This window comes from Homo sapiens, chromosome 18, assembly GCF_000001405.40.
Source record: "Homo sapiens chromosome 18, GRCh38.p14 Primary Assembly".
NCBI lineage: Eukaryota > Metazoa > Chordata > Mammalia > Primates > Hominidae > Homo > Homo sapiens.
This window is the reverse complement of record NC_000018.10, coordinates 79,937,383-79,959,241: the sequence shown is the minus strand read 5'-3', so window position 1 is coordinate 79,959,241 and position 21,859 is coordinate 79,937,383. Positions and strand designations below refer to the sequence as shown.

At 53.9% G+C, this 21,859-nt stretch overlaps 1 protein-coding gene and 1 long non-coding RNA gene across 22 annotated transcripts in view, besides 7 other annotated features; one reads left to right on the top strand and one right to left on the bottom strand.

Annotated features, from left to right (window-relative positions):
* Nucleotides 316-913: an enhancer, noted in NCBI's record as "NANOG-H3K4me1 hESC enhancer chr18:77718329-77718926 (GRCh37/hg19 assembly coordinates)". NCBI's record gives its function as "activates a minimal SCP1, AML or CMV promoter by ChIP-STARR-seq in naive and primed H9 embryonic stem cells {active_cell/tissue: H9 hESC(naive and primed)}" and the evidence as "EXISTENCE:reporter gene assay evidence [ECO:0000049][PMID:30033119]".
* Nucleotides 914-1,512: an enhancer, noted in NCBI's record as "NANOG-H3K4me1 hESC enhancer chr18:77717730-77718328 (GRCh37/hg19 assembly coordinates)". NCBI's record gives its function as "activates a minimal SCP1, AML or CMV promoter by ChIP-STARR-seq in naive H9 embryonic stem cells {active_cell/tissue: H9 hESC(naive)}" and the evidence as "EXISTENCE:reporter gene assay evidence [ECO:0000049][PMID:30033119]".
* Nucleotides 3,146-6,433, bottom strand: LOC124904336 (uncharacterized). The gene is made up of 2 exons (XR_007066429.1): nt 6,163-6,433; nt 3,146-5,966 (listed from the first exon to the last, which is right to left on the bottom strand). It is a non-coding gene; the product is annotated as an uncharacterized LOC124904336 (long non-coding RNA).
* Nucleotides 7,058-7,107: a silencer, noted in NCBI's record as "silent region_9583". NCBI's record gives its function as "represses an Ori minimal core promoter by ATAC-STARR-seq in GM12878 lymphoblastoid cells {active_cell/tissue: GM12878}" and the evidence as "EXISTENCE:reporter gene assay evidence [ECO:0000049][PMID:35858748]".
* Nucleotides 7,238-7,747: a silencer, noted in NCBI's record as "silent region_9582". NCBI's record gives its function as "represses an Ori minimal core promoter by ATAC-STARR-seq in GM12878 lymphoblastoid cells {active_cell/tissue: GM12878}" and the evidence as "EXISTENCE:reporter gene assay evidence [ECO:0000049][PMID:35858748]".
* SLC66A2 (solute carrier family 66 member 2) overlaps nt 7,589-21,859 on the top strand; it is a 49,234-nt gene continuing 34,963 nt past the window's right edge. For 9 of the 21 annotated variants that reach the window (XR_007066224.1, XR_007066225.1, XR_007066226.1 and 6 more), the window contains exons 1-3: nt 8,223-8,518; nt 11,901-11,975; nt 15,780-15,913. Coding sequence is in view for 16 of the 21 variants with exons in the window: in XM_047437834.1 (XP_047293790.1) it covers nt 8,316-8,518; nt 11,901-11,975; nt 15,780-15,913 (412 nt within the window). In the remaining 5 variants the exon portion in view is untranslated. Of the gene's footprint in view, nt 7,662-8,211; nt 8,519-9,680; nt 9,724-11,900; nt 11,976-15,779; nt 15,914-21,859 lie in introns of those variants that run through there. The other 12 variants (XM_047437837.1, XM_047437831.1, XM_047437835.1 and 9 more) reach the window with 7 other exon arrangements.
* Nucleotides 8,068-8,147: a silencer, noted in NCBI's record as "silent region_9581". NCBI's record gives its function as "represses an Ori minimal core promoter by ATAC-STARR-seq in GM12878 lymphoblastoid cells {active_cell/tissue: GM12878}" and the evidence as "EXISTENCE:reporter gene assay evidence [ECO:0000049][PMID:35858748]".
* Nucleotides 8,188-8,307: a silencer, noted in NCBI's record as "silent region_9580". NCBI's record gives its function as "represses an Ori minimal core promoter by ATAC-STARR-seq in GM12878 lymphoblastoid cells {active_cell/tissue: GM12878}" and the evidence as "EXISTENCE:reporter gene assay evidence [ECO:0000049][PMID:35858748]".
* Nucleotides 14,918-14,977: a silencer, noted in NCBI's record as "silent region_9579". NCBI's record gives its function as "represses an Ori minimal core promoter by ATAC-STARR-seq in GM12878 lymphoblastoid cells {active_cell/tissue: GM12878}" and the evidence as "EXISTENCE:reporter gene assay evidence [ECO:0000049][PMID:35858748]".

Genomic DNA, 21,859 nt, shown 5'->3' with positions numbered 1-21,859 from the left:
GACAGGGTCTTGCTCTGTTGCCCAGGCTGGAGTGCAATGGCAGAATTACGACTCACTGCAGCCTTGACCTCCTGGGCTCAGGTGATCCTCCCACCTCAGACCCCTGAGTAGCTGGGACTACAGATGCACACCAATGTACCCCACTAATTTTTGTATTTTTAGTAGAGATGGGGGGTCTCACTATGTTGACCAGGCTGGTCTTGAACTCCTGAGCTCAAGGGATCCACCCACCTGAGCCTCCCAAAGTCTTGGGATTATAGGAGTGAGCCACCGCACCTGGCCCGCTCTGTTTTACTTATTCTAAAATAATTGCAATATTTTCATAAGTTTAATTTTCATTGTTAATGCAATATCAACCAACTATTTTCTAATCCCATGAATTATTTACTATGCAATTCTGGTCCTGTTTGAGTAAGTGGTCTTTCCAAGAAGTCATGATTGTGGGTAATGAGGACCTCCTGTACCATGCAGCTTTTGTAGGTGTGAATTTTAAAACAGTGGCTCTCAAATATGGCTGCACATCAGAACTTCTGGGGAAGGCTTAGAAGGCTACCCTGACTGGCACAGTCCCCTTTATCGGTGCTCTGCGGGTGGGCCCGGGCACTTGAGCATTTGTGGTTTTAAAGCTGCCCAGGGGTTTCAGTGTGTGACCAAGTGGCTTAAGCTGTGGAATATAGCTTTAGACCCGTGGTAGGGAGGGCAGCACAATGGAAGTATTTTACATCAGAAAAGTCCCAGCTCCTCCCACTGTCCCTTGTGACATTTTGTCCACAAGCTGTAATCACCCAGTACATTGTTACTTTATGGCTTTTAACAGTTGTCTTTAGATCAATTAAGAATAACGAGGTTGGCCGGGCGCGGTGGCTCACACCTGTAATCCCAGCACTTTGGTAGGCCGAGGCGGGCGGATCATGAGGTCAGGAGATCAAGACCATCCTGGCTAACACAGTGAAACCCCGTCTCTATAAAAATACAAAAGATTAGCTGGGCATGGTGGTGGGCGCCTGTAGTCCCAGCTACTCGGAAGGCTGAGGCAGAAGAATGGCCTGAACCCGGGAGGCGGAGCTTGCAGTGAGCTGAGATCGCGCCACTGCACTCCAGCCTGGGCAACAGAGCAAGACTCCGCCTCAAAAACAAAAAAGAATAACGAGGTGGTTCACGCGTATAATCCCAGCACTCTGCGAGACTGAGATGGGTTGATTACCTGAGGACAGGAGTTCGAGACCAGCCTGGCGAACATGGCGAAACCCGGTCTCTACTAAAAATACAAAAAATTATAGGCCGGGCACGGTGGCTCACGCCTGTAATCCCAGCACTTTGGGAGGCCAAGGTGGGCAGGTCACGAGGTCAGGAGATCGAGACCATCCTGGCTAACACAGTGAAACCCCATCTCTACTAAAAATACAAAAAATTAGCCGGGCGCGGTGGCGGGCGCCTGTAGTTCCAGCACCTGAGAGGCTGAGGCAGGAGAATGGCGTGAACCCGGGAGGCGGAGCTTGCAGTTAGCTGATATTGCACCACTGCACTCCAGCCTGGGTGACAGAGCGAGACTCTGTCTCAAAAAAAAAAAAAAAAAAAAAAAATTAGCTGGGCATGGTGGCATGTCCTTGTAAGCCAAGCTACTCAGGAAGCTGAGGCAGAATTGCTTGAACCTGGGAGGTGGAGGTTGCAGTGAGCTGAGATTGCGCCATTGCACTCCATCCTGGGCAACAAGAGCAAAACTCTGTCTTAAAAAAAAAAAAAAGAAAGAAAAAAAAGAAAAACAAGAGACATTAATTCTCTTCATTTATTCTGCCTCTGATGCTTTTCCTTTCCTGATGTAGATCTAAGCCTCTGACCTGTATCATCTTCCTTGTCTCTTCTCTAACATTTCTCACAGGGCAGGTCTACCGGCAATACATTCCCTCAGTTTTTGTTTTTCTGAAAAAGTCTTTATTTTTCCTGCACCTTAAGGATACTTTTGCTATATGGAATTCTAGGTGGGCAGATTTTTTTTTTTTCAACTGCAACACTTTAAGGATTTCACGGCCAGGCGCAGTGGCTCACGCCTGTAATCCCAACACTTTGGGAGGCCGAGGCAGGCAGATCACGAGGTCAGGAGATCGAGACCATCCTGGCTAACACTGTGAAACCCCGTCTCTACTAAAAATACAAAAAAATTAGCCGGATGTGGTGGCGGGTGCCTGTAGTCCCAGCTACTCGGGAGGCTGAGACAGGAGAATGGCGTGAACCCGGGAGGCGGAGCTTGTAGTGAGCCGAGATTGCGCCACTGCACTCCAGCCTGGACAACAGAGCGAGACTCTGTCTCAAAAAAAAAAAAAAAAAAAGATTTCACTCTACCCTTTTGTTATCCGCATGATTTCTAACAAGAAGTCCACGGTCATTTTTATTCATATTCCTCTTGTTAACTTAAAAAATCACACAACACTGCATTTAGAAAAGGAGACTATTTCTTAAATAACTTGCAAGATAGACATCCCACAAGACCAGACACAGGCCCTTCAGAGGAGGAGAGGATGGGGCACGAGCTTTATGCTGACTTGGTTGGCTAAATATACTTAATAGGTTACATGAGGAGCTATGAATATTCATGAAGGGGGTCTTGCTGTATGTATCACATGACCCATGTTCACTTTGGGGTAGAGATGTAACATTTACATGTATTACAGTTAGGCCCTATACATCAAAAGGTCTTTCTAAGACTCAAAGGCACTTGGTGCACAGAGTTTGTAAACCAGCCGGGACCAGCCATGGTCAGTGGTCTCTTACCAGGAGAGTTACTGAAATCTGTCTCTTGTCTTGTCAGAGGTGTAGCTGTGGCTGGTGGACGAGGGTTCAGTCAGGCAGGTTTATTCAGTTTGAATGTGACAAGCCTAGGTGTGGTTTTTTGTTTTGTTTTGCTTTATGTTTTTTGTTATTTGTCCTGATGGATGTTCTGTATGTTTCCTGGATCTATGGTTTGGTGTCTGTCATTAATTTGGGGACATTCTTGCCATTCCACCATTTCTCCTGCCCCTTCTCCTCTTTCCTCCTTCCGATTCTCCCATTGTACCAATCATATCCTTTGATGTTGTTCTTGGATGGTGTTTTCTGTTGGTGTATTAGGCTGTTCTTGCATTGCTATAAAGAAATACCTGAGACAGAGTAATTTATAAAGAGAAGAGATTTAATTGGCTCACAGTTCTTGCAGGCCATACCAGCATGGCACCAGCATCTGCTCAGCTTCTTGGGGGCCTCAGGGAACTTTTACTCATGGCGGAAGGCAAAGTGGGAGCAGGCATTTCACACGGTAAAAGCAGGAGCAAGAGAGAGAGAGAGTGAGGGTGTGGGTAGGTGCCAGACACTTTAAAGAAAAACAGATCTCAGGCGGGCGCGGTGGCTCATGCCTATAATCGCAGCACTTTGGGAGGCCGAGGTGGGTGGATCAAGAGGTCAGGAGTTTGAGACCAGCCTGGTCAACATGGTGAAACCCCATCTCTACTAAAAATACAATAAATTAGCCAGGCATAGTGGCACAAGCCTGTAATCCCAGCTACTCGGGAGACTGAGGCACAAGAATCACTTAAACCCAGGAGGTTGCAGTAAGCTGAGACTGTGCTGTGCCACTGCACTCCAGTCTGGGCAACAGAACGAGACTCCGTCTCAAAACAAAAACAAAAACAAAAACAGATCTCACATGAACTCAGAGTGAGAGCTTACTCATCACAAGGGGATGAAGCGATGGTGCAAGCCATTCATGAGGAACCCGCCCCCATGATCCAAACACCCCCTGCCAAGCCCCACCTCCAAAACTGGTGATTATAACTCAACATGAGATTTGGTGGGGACACACACTCAAACTAGATCAGTTGATTTTTTTTTTTTTCATCACCTTTTCTCCTTGAATTTCAGTTTGGGAAGTTTCTGTTGACTTATCTTCATATTCACTGATTCTTTCCTTCATTCTGTCTAGTCAACTAATGAGCATTCTTTATTTCTATTGTGTTTTTGACTTCTAGCATTTTTTTTTTATTATTGTTTCCATCTTTCTGCTGATATCACCTATCTGGTCTTGCATGTTGTCTAATTTTTCTGCTAAAGCCAGTTTATCCAGGAGTTTCTGCTCTGGGTGAGCAGCTCTCAGGTGCTGTCTCTCCCTGGATGTGCCTGTCTCTTCAGAGCAGGGTGCCAGTTTGTCTGGCAGCCTTAGTTCTCTGATGGGCCCATGAAAGGCTGCCCTGCTATTCTTTGCTGTAAGGATGGGGGTGGTGACTGCCAAGCACGTCACATGACACCAGTTGAAGTTGCGGAACTTCTGAGCCAGGCTCCTAAAGTGAGACTTCCAATCCACCTTCCGTACAGGTTTCCTTAAAAAATGGGGTGCGCGACCAGCAAGGTGGCTCACTCCTGTAATCCCAGCACTTTGGGAGGCCTAGGTGAGAGGATCCTTTGAAGCCAGGAGTTCAAAGACCAAACTGGCCAACATAGTGAGCTCCCCGTCTCTATAAAATAAATAAATAAAATAAAAAGAAATAGGCTGAGTGAGAAACAGTGGCTCCAATCTTCCTCTGATGTCCCAGCTCTCAGAACAAGGTTGCTTTGTTTGCTTTTCCTTTTATAAGCACCATGTGTTAGGCAAATTCTTAAGTGGTTCCCTGAGGTATTCATGCTCCTACGTGACACCTTAATCTGCACCGGGCCAACCCAGTGACCTGTTTCTCATGAGCAGAGCCTGGAAAGCATGAGGCACAGCTCTGCTTCCTCTGTGTCACAGCTCTGATCTTGTCAGTCACTCATTGGCTCCTGCAACAAATGACCACAGCTAAGTGGCTTTTACAACAGCAGAAGTTTATTCCTTCACAGCTCTGGAGGCCAAAAGTCCAAAATCACTTTTAATGTGCTGAAATCAAGGCATTGGCAGGGCCAGGCTCCCTCGCATGGCTCCTGGGGAGAATCTGCTCCTTGTTTCTGGGGCCTCTGGTGGCTCCGGCGTTACTTGGCTTGGGACTGCATCACGTCAATTTTCAAGGCCCCATCTTCATCTCTGCTCCATCTTCCCATGGCCCTCTCTTCTGTGTGGCACCAAATTTCCTTCTGCCTCCCTCTTACAAAGATGCATGTGGCCGGGCACGCTGGCTCATGCCTGTCATCCCAGCACTTTGAGAGGCCAAGGCAGGAGGATCGCTTGAGGCCAGGAGTTCAAGACCAGCCTGGCCAACACAGAGACCCTGTCTCTGTTGTATGTATTTATTTTTGAGATAGGGTCTCACTTTGTCACCGAGGCTAGAGTGCAGTGGTGCGATCCTGGCTCACTGCTGCCTCAACCTCCTGGCCTCAAGCAATCCTTCCACCTCAGGAGTAGCTGGGACTACAGGTGCACACTACCATGCCCAGATAATTTTTCTATCTTTTGTAGAGACGAGGTCTCACCATGTTGCTCAGGCTGGTCTCGAACTCCTGGGCTCAAGAGATTTACCTGCCTCAGGCTCCCAAAGTGCTGGGATTATAGGCGTGAGCCACAGTGTTTAGGGCCCACCTGGATAATCCAGGACAATCTCTCTATCTCAAGATCCTTAATGACATTAGAAAAAAAAATTGTTTTCCCATACGAGGTAATATTTACAGGTTGCCTGGATTAGGACTTGATGGCTTTATAAGGGCCATTTTCCAGCTGTGCATGGCTTGGTCGGCTTCTCTTGTTTGCAGGAAGCTATGTGACAAGCGCAGCACCTGCAATGAGCTGTGATTGGCTGATGTAGACTGGGGGTGGGGGCTCGGACCCCCGGCAGGTGGTGTTCGAAAAGGTACAAACTCACTCTGCAGTCATCAACTCACCTTTCGGGGTGCCTCTGAGGCGTGAGGCCTGTGGGGTGACGTCCGAGCATGCCAGATTTCGTCCACTGAGCCGGGCTCCTGGAGGCCCCGTGCACAGATGCAGCTCTAGGCCCCAGGCTGCGGGCACAATTTGCCCCATGCCTCCACAGCCTCTGGATTTAAGATAACCGAGGATAGCGTCTGGGACCCCAGTGCTCCCGTGAGGGTCAAGGAGGTCCGGAGCTTACTCCAACCTCCAGGGCAGAGAGGACAGATGATCCCAAAGGCTGCTGGGCTCAGGCTAGGGCGCGGCTGAGCAGGGGCAGCTGCTTTTTCTCTCCCAGGCTTCCTGCTGTGCCTTTTACTCACCTCTACGTTCCTGGTGCTGGGGCTCCGCAGCGCTGGCTCTAAAGAAGTTCCAACGCCAGCCTGGGGGCGCAAGGCAGGAGCGCCCTGTTTCCTCGATTGTTGGGGATTTGCTCCTAGTTAGGTGGTGACTGTCCTTATGATCCCCCATAAAACCAGTCGGGCAGGGGGCAGGGGGCAGGGGGCCGGGATCGTGGAGAAGAGGCCGCGGCTGGCGGGGAAGCAACCCTCAGCGTGGACCCCTCAACCTCGCGGCTCGCCCCTTACCCGTGCACCCCTCGCCTCACACCCCCGCGCCCCTCACCCACGCGTCCCTCACCCTACACACACCCGCCCATCACTCGCGCACCCTTCACCCCTCACCCACGCTCCCCTCACCCTTCACCGGCGCGCCCCTCACCCCTCACCCCTCACCCAGGCGCCCCTCACCCTTCACTCGCGCATCACTCACCCCTCACCCCTCACCCACGCTCCCCTCACCCCTCACCCCTCACCCGCGCTCCCCTCACCCCTCACCCGCGCGCCCCTCACCCCTCACCCGCGCTCCCCTCACACTTCACCCGCGCTCCCCTCACTCTTCACCCGCGCGCCCCTCATCCACGCGCCCCTCGCCCTCAGTCCTCACCCGCGCGGGCCAAGAGGGTCCCGGGCGAGGGCAGCTCCCCGCGGGCGGGTGTGGGGCTCGGAGTTGGCTTGGCACGCGAGGCCGGCAGCAGGGCCCGGGCTTCACGCACGCCTGGCCCCCGAGTCTGTCTTGAGGCTCAGGAGCTGCCTTTTCTGCAAATAGGCGCCCAACGGTTCAGCCCGGAGAACTACACGGGGATGGGGAGAGGCCGCCCCGCGTTTCTGCAGCGACAGCGACCGTGGCCGCAACCACGATAATGACAATGGCCACGGTGACGGCCGCGCGTCCAGCCGGCCCCCCGGCGACGGCCCCGGCGCATCTGCTCGTGGGGCACTTGCATCGGAGCGGAGACCCGCGGGGGGCGCTCCGTTTCCCGAGACCCCGGCCGCCTCTGGGCGCTGCAAACTCCGAGCCGGGTCCCCGGGTCTCCTGGGTCAGGACAGAGCTGGACGAGACTCGTCCCCGGGTGGCCCGCATTCAGGACACGCGTGAGAGGGGCGTCCGGACCCCGCGCCCCCGGCCCTCCAGGACGACGCCCTCCGCTTGGATGGCCGCGCGCCGGGACAGCTGGAGACGGGTTAACGTGGGCGCCAGGCCTGAGGGACCGGCCCCGCCCGGCTGGTATTTCCCGACCGGGCGGGAGGAGCCACGCGCCCCCACCGCCCCGACAGCCCCGGCTCCCGGCCCCGCCTGCGCCCGCCCTGCCCAGCGCGCTCTAGGACACCGCGGCGCCTCCGCGCAGCTCCGGCGTGGGCGGGGCCCGGCATTGTGACGTCACGGGGCGGGGTTTCCCGGCGCCTGAGCGGACTGACGCCGAGACGCGCGCGGGTCAGCGGCGCGGGGACGCGGGGCGCTGGGCGCGGGGCTGGGGGCGCAGGTAAGGAGCGCGGGGGCGGCGCGGGGTCCTCGGGGGGCGGCCTAGGGCGGCCGAGGACGCAGGGCCGGGGCAGTTGGTCGCGGCCTTCAGTCCCCTGGCTTGGTCCTGTGGGGTCCCCGGCCCGGCACCTCCTCCCGCGAGCCGTGCGCCCCCATCCTGGGCCTGCGCCCCCTTCCCCCGAGCCGTGCGCCCCCATGCTAGGCCCTGTGACCCTCCCCCGAACAGTGCGCCCCGATCCTGGGCCCTGCGCCCCCTCCCCCACCCCATCCCGGGGCGCGCGTGGACCCCCGCCGGCTAAGCGCACCCGGGCGGTGACCCCAGGGGCTTCGCCCGTCCTCGACCCCGGCGCTGGGACCCCTCCCCAGCCCCCTCCGGGAGCGTCTCGGGACCCCCAGACACCCCCCCGTCCCAGGCAGGGGCCGCTCCTCGCGCGCCCCGGGCCCCGGTCGCCCCCGCTCTGCCTCGGGTCCTGCGGCTGGCGCGGGTCGGGTCGGGTCCGTGCGCGCCGCCCCAGCCTCCCTGGGCGGAACTCGAGCAGCTCCCCGCTCCCCGCAGGCCCCGAGGCCGCAGGAGCGCGCGGAGCGGCGATGAGCAGGCGGCCGGTGGCCCGCGGGGCGCGGAGCCCGTGACAGCCTCGGCCAGGCGGGCGCTGCGATGGAGGCCGAGGGCCTGGACTGGCTCCTGGTGCCACTGCACCAGCTGGTGTCCTGGGGCGCGGCCGCGGCCATGGTCTTCGGAGGGGTGGTGCCCTACGTCCCGCAGTATCGGGACATTCGCAGGACGCAGAACGCCGACGGCTTCTCCACCTACGTGTGCCTGGTGCTGCTGGTGGCCAACATTTTGCGGATACTCTTCTGGTAAGTTGGGGGCTTGCTTTCCTGGGCTGCACCCGGAGAAGAGGGTTTCTCCTTTGGGGTTTCTGGTTGAGGCCGGGGGAGCAGCAGGGTCCACACCTCCCTGCTGGGCCAGCGTCCCACTCTGCCGTGGATGGGGTACGTGGCTGCAGGCAAGTCACTTCTTAGGGTGAGATTATTTTTCCAGAAAAACGGTGGGGTTGGAGCACAGAATCTCAGAGAAAATCTCCAGATCCGCCTCCTTGCATGATGTTCCACATGGGTACTTAGCAGGGACCTCTCAGCTGGGCACTGGCCTAGGCCTGCCTGTGGAGAGGAGCCGTTCCTGCCCTCCTTTTTCATGTTGTATAGTTTTTCTTTGTTGTTTTGAGAGAGGGTCTTGCTCTGTGGTCCAGGCTGAAGTGCATGATGACATGACAGCTCACCGCAGTCTCCACGTTCCTGGGCTCAGGTGATCCTCCCATCTCAGCCTCCCGAGTAGCTGGGACCACAGGCGCACCACCACACCCGGCTAATTGTTTTTTTTGTATTTTTTGTAGAGACAGGGGAGTGGGGGGTTGTCTCACTTTGTTGCCCAGGCTGGTCTCGAACTCCTGGCCTCAAGCATCCCTCCCCACTGGGCCTCTGAAAGGGCTGGGATTACAAGCTGAGCCACGGCGCCTGGCCTGCCTTATTTAAATAGGAAGTCACTCTCTCTGGAGACTGTCTTGTTCCTCTCCCCAACTTCCTCTTTGTATTTGTATTAGGCTAAGGAAATTGAAATTAATTTTAACAGTTGTTGAAGGCAGACATAATTGGGAGGGTGAGTTTTCAGAGGAAATGAGGTCTCACAGCTGCATTCTAAGGCCAAAAACGTCTGAAATTTTTCTTTCTTCTGGGTGATCCCAGCCTCTCTGTCCGGGCAGATTGGAAGGTGTCTGCTGCTCTTCCTATGAAGAGGGCCTGGTGGAGGGGTGGAGAGAAGGAGTCCAGGCAGCTGGTGTCAAGAACTCTGCTTCTGACTCTGGTCACTGAGTAATCACGTACCTGCTTCTTTGCCTGTTAGTTTTGTTTTGTTTTTTTTTGAGACAGAGTCTTGCTCTGTCGCCAGGCTGGAGTGCAGTGGTACAATCTCGGCTCACTGCAGCCTCTGACTCCTGGGTTCAAGTGATTCTCCTGCCTCAGCCTCCTGAGTAGCTGGGACTACAGGTGCCTGCCACCATACCCAGGTAATTTTTGTATTTTTAGTAGAGACCAGGTTTCACCATGTTGACCAGGATGGTCTCGATCCCTTGACCTCATGATCCACCCACCTTGACCTCCCAAAGTGTTGGGATTACAGGCGTGAGCCACCGCGCCTGGCCCGCCTGTTAGTTTTTAAGTCAACCTTATTGAGGTGTGATTTGCATTCCATGAAATACACCCCTTTCGTGTCCATTTGATGAGTTCTGATGCTGAGGTGTCCCGTGTTCATGAGCCGGGGTGCTCCCTGCTCCGTGGCCTTCATCCCAGCCCTGGCCATGGGCAGCCATTGGTCCATGTGTCCCTGGGTGTTAGTTTTGCCCCTGCCAGGGATTTTTAGGTGAGCGAGTGGGTTGGCTGCCTCTTCCCCAGAGTTGTCTCTGAGGCAGGGAGGTTTGTCCCCTGCAACGACCTCGGAGGAGGATTTTGGGTCCGAGTCCCGTCTCGAGGTTTGTCTCTGGGCCAGGCTGCATCTGAGGGAGGTTCAGGGGTGCTCATTTTGGAGACTCCTTCTTTCTTTCCCATCGCCTGCTTTGGAGACGTGGCTGGCGGTGCTGCAGTGGCCTCAGTGAGCGTAAGGTTGACTGGAAGTAGGTTTCTAATTGTCTAATGCTGTTGTTTACTTTGAGTGCATGTTGTGGGGGTTGGGGAGACGCTGGTCGGCAGGCCACCTGCTACAGCCCCAGCTCACGTGTGTGTTGTGAAGGAGCGCTGCACTCGTCTTCAGGGTTATAGAATAAATTCTCTCCAAAATAATGGAGGAAAATTGCCTGAGAGTGGATAACCATACGGGAAAGAAGTTCCGCTTAGAGGTTTCCCTCCCCAGTATGCTCATAGTTCAAAGTTGCTAAAAGAAAATAAATTAGGTTGGGCACGGTGGCCCGCTCCTGTAATTCCAGCACTTTTGGAGGCCGGGGTGGGAGGATCACTTGAGGCCAGGAGTTCAAGACCAACCAACGCAACACAGCAAGACACCGTCTCTACAAAAAATTGAAACATTAGCTTAGGTGTGGGGGCATTACCTGTAGTCCTAGCTACTTGCGAGGCTGTGAAAGGAGGATCACTTAAGCCCAGGAATTCGAGGCTGCAGTGAGCTGTCCTCCAGTCTGGCCAACAGAGAGAGACCCTGTCTCAAAAAAAGAAAGAAAAGAATCTATCTAATGTCCATCTAAGTATCGGTTTGGAGAAGTCAGAGATTAACCCAGTTTCCTGGTGCCATCTTGTCATTGCCTCATGACCTAACTGGCACTGACGTAGAGGTTTGAAGCTGGAACTGGGAGTTCTTGCTTACAGGCCTTGGAGAGACACTTGAGCTCTTTCTTTGTGGAGCACAGGGCAGCCTTCCAGGGAATTCTGAACTTTGTCCATGGGTCTCTTCATAGAATCAACATCCTGGGCTGTCCTGGTCATGCATGGCTTCTGTGACCACTGAGTGCACACGCAGGGCCCCAGTGTGTTCCAGAAGATGGTGGGATGAAAGCGGGGAGAGCAGAGGGCGCTCGTTCCTGCTGGGCGTCCCTCCAGCCTGAGGATGCGCCATCCCTGCACTCCACACAGCGAAGCCCACCTCCCTACCTACCACACATCCTCTTGTGCCCACCCGGTCCCCAGGTCCTGCTGTGCAGAGGGGGATGATGACCCCTTCTGTTTCTCTCTTGGGAGCCTCTTGTGACCCCCCACTCCTGGCTTCCCCTCTCCAGGCTTTGTAGGTTCACAGCCTCTTTGATTTCATGGTTTGTAGGGCAGAGGATTTGTGCTTTAGCAGAAGTGACACGCGGGATGCATCACACACAACCCCAGCTCCACGCATGCGCAGGCACACTCGGTGTTTGGGTTGGGGGTGGTGGGAGCAGGAGAGCAGAGGTGGGGCGGGGGCAGGCTCCGGTGAGAAGGGGCTGGGGTGGGGGCAGAGAGCAGAGGTGGGGCTGGGCTGGGCTCTGGTGAGAAGGGGCGGGAGACGGGGAGAGCAGAGGTGGAGTTCGAATCTTCACGCCTCCAAAGCTGTTGGGGCATGGTCCTCAGAGCTCCAGTCCCTCTGGGCAGCTCCCCGTTGGGGATTTGGGGTGCATGGCATATGGGGCTCTGCAGTCCTGCAGGGGCTGCTTTAACAGTACAAACCCAGGGATTCTGAAACATAGGTCACTCATGTTTTTGTTTCTTACAGTCCTTACTACCATTTTGCAAAACCAGCATTCAGCAGATCACACTCTGTGGAATGCCAACATTCAGGATTTGGCAGGTTGGTGCCAGAAGCCAGGAGAAGGGCTAAATGATGCCTCATAGCTGGTGTTTGCCAGCTGTGAGTATGTGGAGGAAAAGCGGAGAGGCCAGGCGGGGATCAGGCCACACTGGGCTGCAGGGCCCTGGGAGCCTCAGCTCCACCCACAGTAGCACCCAGGCTGGAGCACTCTTAGATGGAGGAATGAAAACATTGTATCAGAGAGGTCATAACATTTTGTTACTAAAGGTGATAGCTTTAGTGGTGCCTAAGAGTAGATACAAAGCTACAAAGCTTCTCTTCTGCTGGATTTTTTTTTTCTTTTAGACAAGAGTCTCGCTCTTGCCCAGGCTGGAGTGTAGTGGCACAATCTCGGCTCACTGCACCCACCGCCTCCCGGGTTCAAGCAGTTCCCTGCCTCAGCCTTCCAAATAGCTGGGATTACAGGCGCCCACTGCCACGCCCAGCTAATTTTTGTATTTTTAGTAGAGACGGGGTTTCACCATATTGGCCAGGCTGGTCTTGAACTCCTGACCTCGTGATCCACCTGCCTTGGCCTCCCAAAGTGCTGGGATTACAGGTGTGAGCCACTGTGCCCAGCCCTGCTTGAGTTTTTCTGTGAGATTTTGGAACATGGAGAAGTTTTTCTGTGGGCCTGGTCAGTTATGGGGCACCCTCTATACTGTCTCTCCCTGTGGATGGGCACCTGGGCATGATCACCTGCAGAGTCCACCTTAGACGAGGTATCTTGGTGCTTCCCGAGGAGCAGGCTCCTGCACCACACAGGTGGGCTGCCTGGCACCTGCCGTGAGAAGAGGCATGGGAGTCACGCCCTCCGGCAGGAGAGGAAAAGTGCTCTCCTAAGTTCATGGCCAGCACAGACTGTTATCACTAAAGGAAGAAAAAGTTAAGTTGAGAAGTAAATGTGGCATCTATTTTAATTAGCTTTTAAAATTACTAATGCTGCTGGATTCTGTTTCGTTTTCATTTTGTTCCTTGTGCATCTTTTGTGGAACACTGTGCTTTTTGAAATTTTGTGTTTTTCTTTGTCTTCACCCTAAAATTAGTTTACTATCTCCCCGGGCACCCTGTCACTTCATTTTAAAAGGCCTCATTCTTTACTGTGCATATCGAGTTTCTCTAGATTTGATTTTTGATGTGTGGATTATGGGGAAGCTCAAACCTTGATTCACCCGCCTCCTCCTCCGTCTCGTCATTCATTGCTTCTGTTAAACATTTAAAAAAATGCAGGTGGCCTTTCACACAGAGTGGCCAAAATGGCTCACGTGCAGCCTCATTGCTGGAGGTGAACGTGGTGTGAAGTGGCCTCCGTGTGTCCCAGGGGACTGGCCTATTTTAGATGCTTGCCCAGCGTCACCTCCTCAGCCTCAGGTCTCTGTGGGTGGGTTGACCGGCACCCAGGCCGCTTGGTAGCCAGTGGAGAACGGCCCTGGAAGTGACTGTGAGCTTGGCTGTATCCTCCAGCCTTGGGGGTTGCGATCGTGCTTTATAGTGCAGAGGCTGAGGCCTGGAGGGGGCCGGTGTGGGGGCTGGAGCCAGCCTGTGGGCAGAGTGCCCGTGCCCCCTGCACTCCTGCTCCTGCAGTGTCCCTGCACCTCCGGCCTGTGCCTCAGGCCCAGAAAACCCTGTTCAAGCTGCCTCTTTGCTGCTGGCCGTCCTCTATCCCCGGGCCCATCACCCTCCCTTCTTCTGTTTGCCTCTTAGTCTTGCCTTGTGTGTTTCTCAGAGGCTTCCTCGGGAAGCATCCAGTGAGGCAAGGGGACGGTGGTGGCCCCTGCTGACCTGGGTGATATTCCTGGAGGTACAGCTTGTGTGCCTGCCTGCCTGGCCCCTGTCCACCCTGGGCCATGGCTGCTGACCTGGGTGAGATGCAGCTTGTCTGCTTGCCTGTCTGGCCCCCTGTCTGCCCCAGGCCCAGGCTACTGTTTTCTCTGCCCTTCCCTCTGCTCCCTGAGTCTCTGTGACCTCAGGCAGCTGCTCCCTCTGCTGAAAAGCTCCCAGGAGACAGGGAAGGGCCTTGGTCTCTGAAGCCAGCACAGAGGGAATCAGCATGGCCACCCTCTGAGGACTGCATCCTGGCTCCCTGTCCTCCCAGGAGAACGTCTGTGGCTTTTTCCTGGTTGCTGTGGGAGCCTCACCTGCAAGTGGAACCTTCTTACCTGCTGGGCTGGCTCACCTGCTGAGGGGGCTATAGGGTTCCCCTTGTTCCTGCTCTGAGTTGATAAGGCAGTGCTGAGGGGGCTATGGGGTTCCCCCTGTTCCTGTTCTGTTGATAAGGGGGTGCTGAGGGGGCTGTGGGGTTCCCCCTGCTTCTGCTCTGTGTTGATAAGGGGGTGCTGAGGGGGCTGTGGGGTTCCCCCTGCTTCTGCTCTGAGTCGATAAGGGGTTGCTGAGGGGGCTGCGGGGTTCCCCCTTCTTCTGCTTCGTGTTAAGGGGATGCTGCATGGGAGCTGGAGAGAGGTGGGGGCTGTGGTGGTTGTTGCTAGGTCTTCCAGTTTTTCAGAAGTTGGGAAATGAGGCTGTTATGTAGGATCTCCTGACTTTGACATGTTGGTGACCAGTTCAAGTTTTGAAAATTCCCTTCAGGCCAAACTGCAGGCTGATTGAGATTCCCGCGCTGGAACAGTCAGGGGTTGGGGCTTTCTATGAGTGCGTGCCACACACAGCCCAGCCTTGGAGGTGGTGGCTCTGCAGGCATGTGTCCCAGCTCTGTGGTGGCTCTGGGGAGGCAGAGACCGCAGGGAGGCAGAGACTGCCAGTCATTGGCCTGTGGTTCTGCCCTGCAGAGGCTCCTAGCTGAGCTGAAGAGATGCTCAACCCTGGTCAAAAGTCAGCAAGAAGGCCTGGGAGCCTGCAGCTAGAGGAGCTCGGGGCCAGGGAGGCGTGGGGGCGGGGGTGGTGCAGAGCCTTGGCTGTCTTCTCTTCTGTGGGAGTGTGTGTGCATGTGGAAATTTCGCATCTGGCCCACCTGCTGCTCTGCACACTATCCCCGCCTTCCCCAGGCAGGAAGCAGGGCTGCTGTGAGCTAGAAACTGGGCTTTTTGCCTGGTGGCAACCCGGAGGCTGCAGGGAGGGCCTGGGGCACCTGGGCTGAGCTGTGGGAGGGGACTCAGGGCCACTAGACCCGGGTACCAGTGCCTGGGCCACTGGTTCTGGGGAGCGCCAAATGTGCCGAAGGGTTCTGAGTCAGGCTGTATGGGGGTCTTACGGCCCCTCCCCGGAGCCCTACCCCACCTGGAGTCTGGGAGATGGGCAACAGGTGCCTGGTCACTGTGGTGTTTGCCAACTCCTGGGCTCCTTCCCCGGGATGCCGCTTGGGGCCTGGGAGAGGGGGAGTGGGTGGGCAGTCTTTCCTGCTGCAGGTTCAGGACTGGGTGAGGCGGCGTGGGTGGGCCTCCCTTCTGACCCGGGTCTCTCCCGCTGCAGGTTCGGGATTGGGAGAGGCGGCATGGGCGGGCCTCCCTCCCGACACAGGATCTTTCCTGCTGCAAGTTCGGGACCAGGAGAGGCGGCATGGGTGGGCCTCCCTCCTGACACAGGATCTTTCCTGCTGCAGGTTTGGGACCAGGAGAGGCGGCATGGGTGGGCCTCCCTCCTGACCCAGGTGTCTCCCGCTGCAGGTTCGGGACTGGGAGAGGCGATGTGGGTGGGCCTGACACAGGGTCTCTCCGGCTGCAGGTTCAGGACTGGGAGGGGCGGCGTGGGTGGGCCTCCCTCCTGACCCGGGTCTCTCCCGCTGCAGGTTCGGGACTGGGAGAAGTGGCATGGGTGGACCTCCCTCCTGACACAGTGTCTCTCCCGCAGGTTTGGAAGGCGCTTTGAGTCCCCGCTGCTGTGGCAGAGCGCCATCATGATCCTGACCATGCTGCTGATGCTGAAGCTGTGCACCGAGGTCCGTGTGGCCAACGAGCTCAACGCCAGGCGCCGCTCCTTTACAGGTTGGTGGCCGGCGCTTCGGAATAAAGTCGCAGGGAATCAGGGCGTAGGTGACTCTGGTGAAACAAAAGCCACTCTAATCTGTCCTGATCCAAGCAGCTTTCATTTCACCAAGTGGTGCTGTTATCTCCAGCTGATAGTGTTTTCAGTATGTTAAATGACTTCAGTTAAACGGTTTATGACTTGAAGCAATTCAAGATAATAGTTTCTTCACTGGAAGTTGGGTGAGGCCTCAACACATCTTCACGGTTCCTCTTGGCTGTGAGCGCCATCCCAGACGCTTTCTGTGTCAGAACAAGAAGTGCTCATCTGTGCCTGGCCCATCAGGTCAGACGGTACCAGGTCAGGCGTTTCGTCTGTGTGCGTGGCCTGTACACAAAACACACCCTTTCAGTTCTGCTGTGACTCAGGGGTACCTTAGCCAGGGTCTTCCTCACAGACCTTGTTAAACAGACCCAGAGTCCCCCCGCAGGGTCAGGCAGCCCCTTTATGCGGAGCACACTGCAGTGTTGACAGCTGGGCAGGACCAATCACATGCTTAGCACACATGGCTCCTTAACCTTTGGCAGCTTAGAAAATAGAAAATACTTCTTCCAGTTTTTGCCTATTGCACAGTTTGTTCCAGTCTGAACTCTGTTTGAACATGCAGGCTGGCGGGCTTCTTGTGTGCAGGAGGGTTAAATCCTTCCTTTTGTTTTTCTTCTAATTACTAAATCTAAGACAGCACTCACTTTGGCTTTGAGAGAGAGAGTGATCTCAGCTATCACTTGGAGAAGAGTATCTTCCCAGAGTTTGTTAAGTTTGGGGCTTCTGTGGATTTGAGCTCTTGCCGGGGAGCTGTGTCCCTGTGTTTCTATTCCTGACCGCTACTTCGTCCTGTTGGAGAGGATTCCCACCTCTGCCTTTTTGTCTGCTTCTGTTTCTAGACTGAGGTGACTGTGTGCTGCTTTCAGCCTCTGTAGAAACCAGACCAGCCTCCAGCCAGTGTGACCTGGGCCAGTTAGTGTCGTTGGGGCCACAGAGATGAGCTCCAGCGTCTTTTCTGCGGTGTTCTGTTCTTTCTCCCCATTCACGCCATTCTCCTCTCCTCTGAGTCTCTGCTCTGTTCCCTTCTATTGTGTTTTGGGTTTGAAATTACACCAGAGATGGTACTGAGGATACCACAGATCTTGCCTAGAAAGCAGGCTTTTAAGAACCAGCCGGATTCCCCGCATGAGGAGCTGCGGTTTTACATTTCTGCTTAGGTGACTCGGTCTTGCTCCCCGCAAGGCTTTGCTCCTTCTCTGGACCTGAGCTCCTCATGGCATGTTCCCTGCCCCTTTGAACCTCAGTATTTAACTTGGAACAAGAATGTTCTCACTGTGGGAGGGCCGGCTGGCCGAGAGAACGGTTTGTGCCTAAGATGCCCAGTGCGTTGCTGGGAGTTTCTGCTGTCCTCGGGCTCTGGACATTTGTGCCTAAGATGCCCAGTGCGTTGCTGGGTGTTTCTGCTGTCCTCGGGCTCTGGACATGAGGCCAGACCTTGTGACCTTGTTGGCAGTGGGCAGTGGCTTGATGTGAGGTCCCAGAGACGGCAGGTTGTGAGTGTCCAGGCAGAGCAGCCAGCGTGGGGTTTAATGTGAGTGTGTGTTGGAACACTGGGATACCCCTAGAAGCGGCATCGTAAGCTCCCCACCTGCATTCATTTTACCAGCAGGTGCAGGTTCAGGCTTGTCTCAGAGGACCGTTGGATAAGAAGGGAGTGGGATGGTGGATGCCTGGCGTTCTGTGTCACTTCTTCCAAAGGAGTACTTCTCTTCTGGTTACCCAGGATGAGTTAAAAATGTGAGTCCCAGTTTCCAGAGCTAGGCCTGGAATCTGAATTTTAAACACCCTCTGTGGGTGTACAGAATAATGGCCCCTGGAGACGTCCGTGCCCTGATCCTGGGAACCTGTGACGTGCCACTGTACATGGCAGAGAGACTCTTGAGGGGGCTGGTCCTGGATTATCCTGTGGTGTAACCTAATCTCAGGGGTCCTCAGACGTGAACAAGGGCCGCAGAGGAGATGGTCAGGTGCTGGAGCTGAGGGCCTGGCTCTCTGCCATGGGTCGGCCGTCGCTTTACAGGCAGCAGAGCCCCCGACCACGGGGAGCTGAGTTCTGCCTGTACTTGAATGGGTAGGAGACACAGCCTTGGTTTTAGTTCAGGAGACCACTGGGCCTCTGGCCTCCAGAATTAAGATAATCAGCCTGCATTGTGGCTGCCACGTTTGTGGTACCTTGTTATGGAGGCGATAGGAAGCTGGGGCACCCTTTCCTCAGGCCTGGAGTATTTGGGAAGCAGTCCAGGGCCGCCACGAGGGGTAGGGGGCCGGGCTCCTGGGGTCAGCCTGGGTGACCTGTGCCTGCCCTCCCCCGGGGAGGACTGAGAACCAAGCTGCATGACTCCTGGGCCCCAAATGACCTCAAGTGGGACATCCGCTCTTGAGCTCTGTGTCCTGGGGTGTAGCTGTGTGTGTTAAAGAATTCTCAAGATTTACCTCTGCAGCACTCTTAATATTGGAGTCCGGTTTGAGTTTATACATGTCCACGTCCCCTTGGTGGATGGGCCAGGCCTGTTCCTGCAGGGCGTCTTGATGAAAGGTGTGGGCTCATGTCCTCTCATCTGCCAGGAGAGGGGAGGGCAAGGCAGGAACATCACTGGAGTTCAGACTGAAAGCTCTGGCTTCTGGCCGCCCGATCGGTAGCTCCTGCAGCACAGCCCCATGCCAAGCAAGGTGGCCAGCCTTGTCTTCCTGTCAGCGGCGTCACCTTTAAGGGAAGGTTGTTGGCTCTGAACATGTTCTGTTTTTTTTTTTAAGCTTTTAAGTTCAGGTACATGTGCAGGTTTGTTATATAGGTAAATTGTTTGTCACGGGGGTTTAGTGTACAGATTATTTCTCTAACTCCTGAACTCCTGACCTCAAGTGATCCACCCACCTTGGCCTCCCGAAGTGCTGGCATTACGGGCGTGACCCACTGCGCCCGGCCAGTGTGCAGATTATTTCATCACCCAGGTATTAAGCCTAGTACCCACTGGTTATTTTTCCCGGTCCTCTCCCTCCTCCTGCTCTCCACCCCCCGACAGGCTCTAGTGGCTGTTGTTCCCCTCTGTGTGTCCATGTGTTCTCATCATTTAGCTCCCACTTACACGTGAGAACATGCGGCATTTGGTCTTCTGTTCCCGTGTTAGTTTGCTAAGGATGATGGCCTCCAGCTCCATCTGTGCTCCTCTAAAGGATACGATCTTGTTCTCTTTTATGGCTGCATAGTGTTCCGTGGTGTATACGTACCACATTTGCTTCATCCAGAAGAAAATCTAGATGATTTTCATTGATGGGCATTTAGGTTAATTCCAAGTCTTTGCTAGTGTGAATAGTGCTGCAGTGAACATATGTGTGCATGTGTCTATAGTAGAGCGATTTATATTCCTGGCGTTTATACCCAGTACCGGGATTGTTGGGTTGAATGGTATTTCTGGTCTTTGAGGAATCACCACACCATCTTCTGCAATGGTTGAGCTAATTTACACTCCCACCAACAGTATGTAAGTGTTCCTTTTTCTTCACAACCCCACCAGCATCTGTTATTTTTTTTTATTAATAGCCATTCCGACTGGTATGAGACGGCATCTCATTGTGGTTTTGATTTGCGTTTCTCTAATGATCAGTGATGTTGAGCTTTTTTTCATACGCTTGTTGGCCGCATGTATGTCTTCTTTTGAAAAGTGTTCATGTCCTTTGCCCACTTTTTAATGGGGTTATTCATTTTTTTCTTGTAAATTTAAGTTCCTTATAGTTGCTGGATATTAGACCTTTGTCAAATGCGTAGTTTGCAAAAATTTTCTCCCATCTGTAGGTTGTCTGTTTGCTCTGTTGATAGTTTCTTTTGCTATGCAGCAGCTCTTTAGTTTAATTAGATCCCCTTTGTCAATTATTGCTTTTGCCAAGTACATTCTTGAGCCTCACCCTGAGGGTGAGGACATGCCAAGGGGGATCATGGGCCTTGAGAGGCACAATTCTTGGCAGACCGATGAGGACATGAAAATAACTTATGAGGAAACGTTTGAATAGCTGCATTTCACTGTGCTCATGGATGGTCAGACGACCTAATGAAATAAAAGCGGAAATGTTTTCCAGCTATCTTTTATAGGGATTTTAAGTTTTGAAGGTCACAAATTCAGTTTGAAAGTTAATATAAAAGAAACATAAATGGTATTAAGAAAGAGTAGGTTACTTAAAAAATTAGATACATAATTTGTTGTCTGATTATAAAGAACAGTGCATGCTCATGGTAGACATTTGGGGAAGACAGAATATAAAGTAAAACAGCTTCTGGCCGGTCGCAGCGGCTCATGCCTGTAATCCCAGCACTTTGGGAGGCCGAGGTGGGCGGATCACGAGGTCGGGAGTTCGAGACCATCCTGGCCAACATGGTGAAACCCCGTCTCTACTAAAGATACAAAAAGTTAGCTGGGCGTGGTGGCGCATGCCTGTAATCCCAGCTACTCAGAAGGCTGAGGTGGGAGAATCACTTGAACCCTGGAGGTGGAGGTTGCAGTGAGCCAAGATTGGGCCATTGCATTCCAGCCTGGGCCACAGGGTGAGACTCCATCTTAAAAAACAAAACAAAGCAAAACAAAAAAACAGCCTCCACCCCACCCTCCAGAGGTGACTACTTTGAACCTCGTGGCATGCTTTCCAAGTCTCTTCCTTTTTTCTTCTACAGTCGCCTTTCACAAAATTGGCATAATTTTCAAAATTATGATCAGACTTTAAAAAGAAACCCTCATTCCACTGAGATGTTTTCCCAAGCCCTTTTTGCTGTGAGTCAGGGTCAGAGCCCCTCACTGGAGGGAGATGTCCCACAGGGCCCCGAGTGCCCAGCCTGAGGAAGGCAGGGCTGGCATCAGCACGGTGCAACCCCTGGGCGGAGCTGAGCCTCTTCGGCCAGGCCATGGCTGACTGCGGTTGGGAGTGAGTGCACACCTGTCTCTCGTGTGCTGGGTTATTTCTTTTTACCTTTCACTTTGCATTATGGAGAATTTCAAGCGTTTACCAAGTAGGTAGGGTGGCATAAAGTCCCGAGGGTGATTGGACCCACAGTTGCATTCAGGTCTCCTTCCTGCAGGTTTTTCTTTTTTCTTTCTTTCTTTTTTTTTTTTTTGAGACAGGGTCTCACTCTGTTGCCCAGGCTGGAGTGCAGTGGTGTTATCAAAGCTCATTATCACCTTGAATTCCTGGGTTCAAGCCAAGCGATCCTCCCACCTCAGCCTCCCAAAGCGTTGGGATTACAGGTGTGAGCCCCTGTGTCTGGCAGTATATACGATTTTGTTGTTTAAAAATCCGTGGGTTCTCCCTTAGCTCCTCTCAACTTTGCCCGTGGTCTGTATTGCGGCATCAGTGCCACCTGCATTTTTAACAAGATTGCTGAGTACTCCTGCAGGCTGAGTTTTGGGAAGCCCTGCAGTGGAGATGGCACTCCTGGTGTTTCCTCGTGTCTTTATGTCCCTGGGATGTGGACAAGGACAAGGTGTTCTGTCCTTGGCTCTTTCTGTGAAAGAGCATTTTAAAAAGATAGCGGACCCTGAGGCCCTATCGGATCCAGGTTTGGTTCTTGTGTTTCGCAGGATGGTTGCGTCGTTCCGTCGGAGGTGCGTGTGGTCAGCGGCCACTGTGGGGCTCATGCTGAGGCCGTCAGCTCATCAGGGGCTGCAGGATGTTTGTTGTCTGTTAGCTGGAGCCCCTCTGCAGAGAAATGGGCGGGTACCCATTGTTCAGCTATCCACAGGTGTAATTTATAAAGGAAATGCGGGTCTCTTTACCAGTTTTCAAAGTTGGTTCCCTAGCATCTTGCAATGATGAGTGCATGTTTCTGAGTCATTCTGAACATGTGAGTTGGACGTTTGGTGTGTTACTGGATTATTACG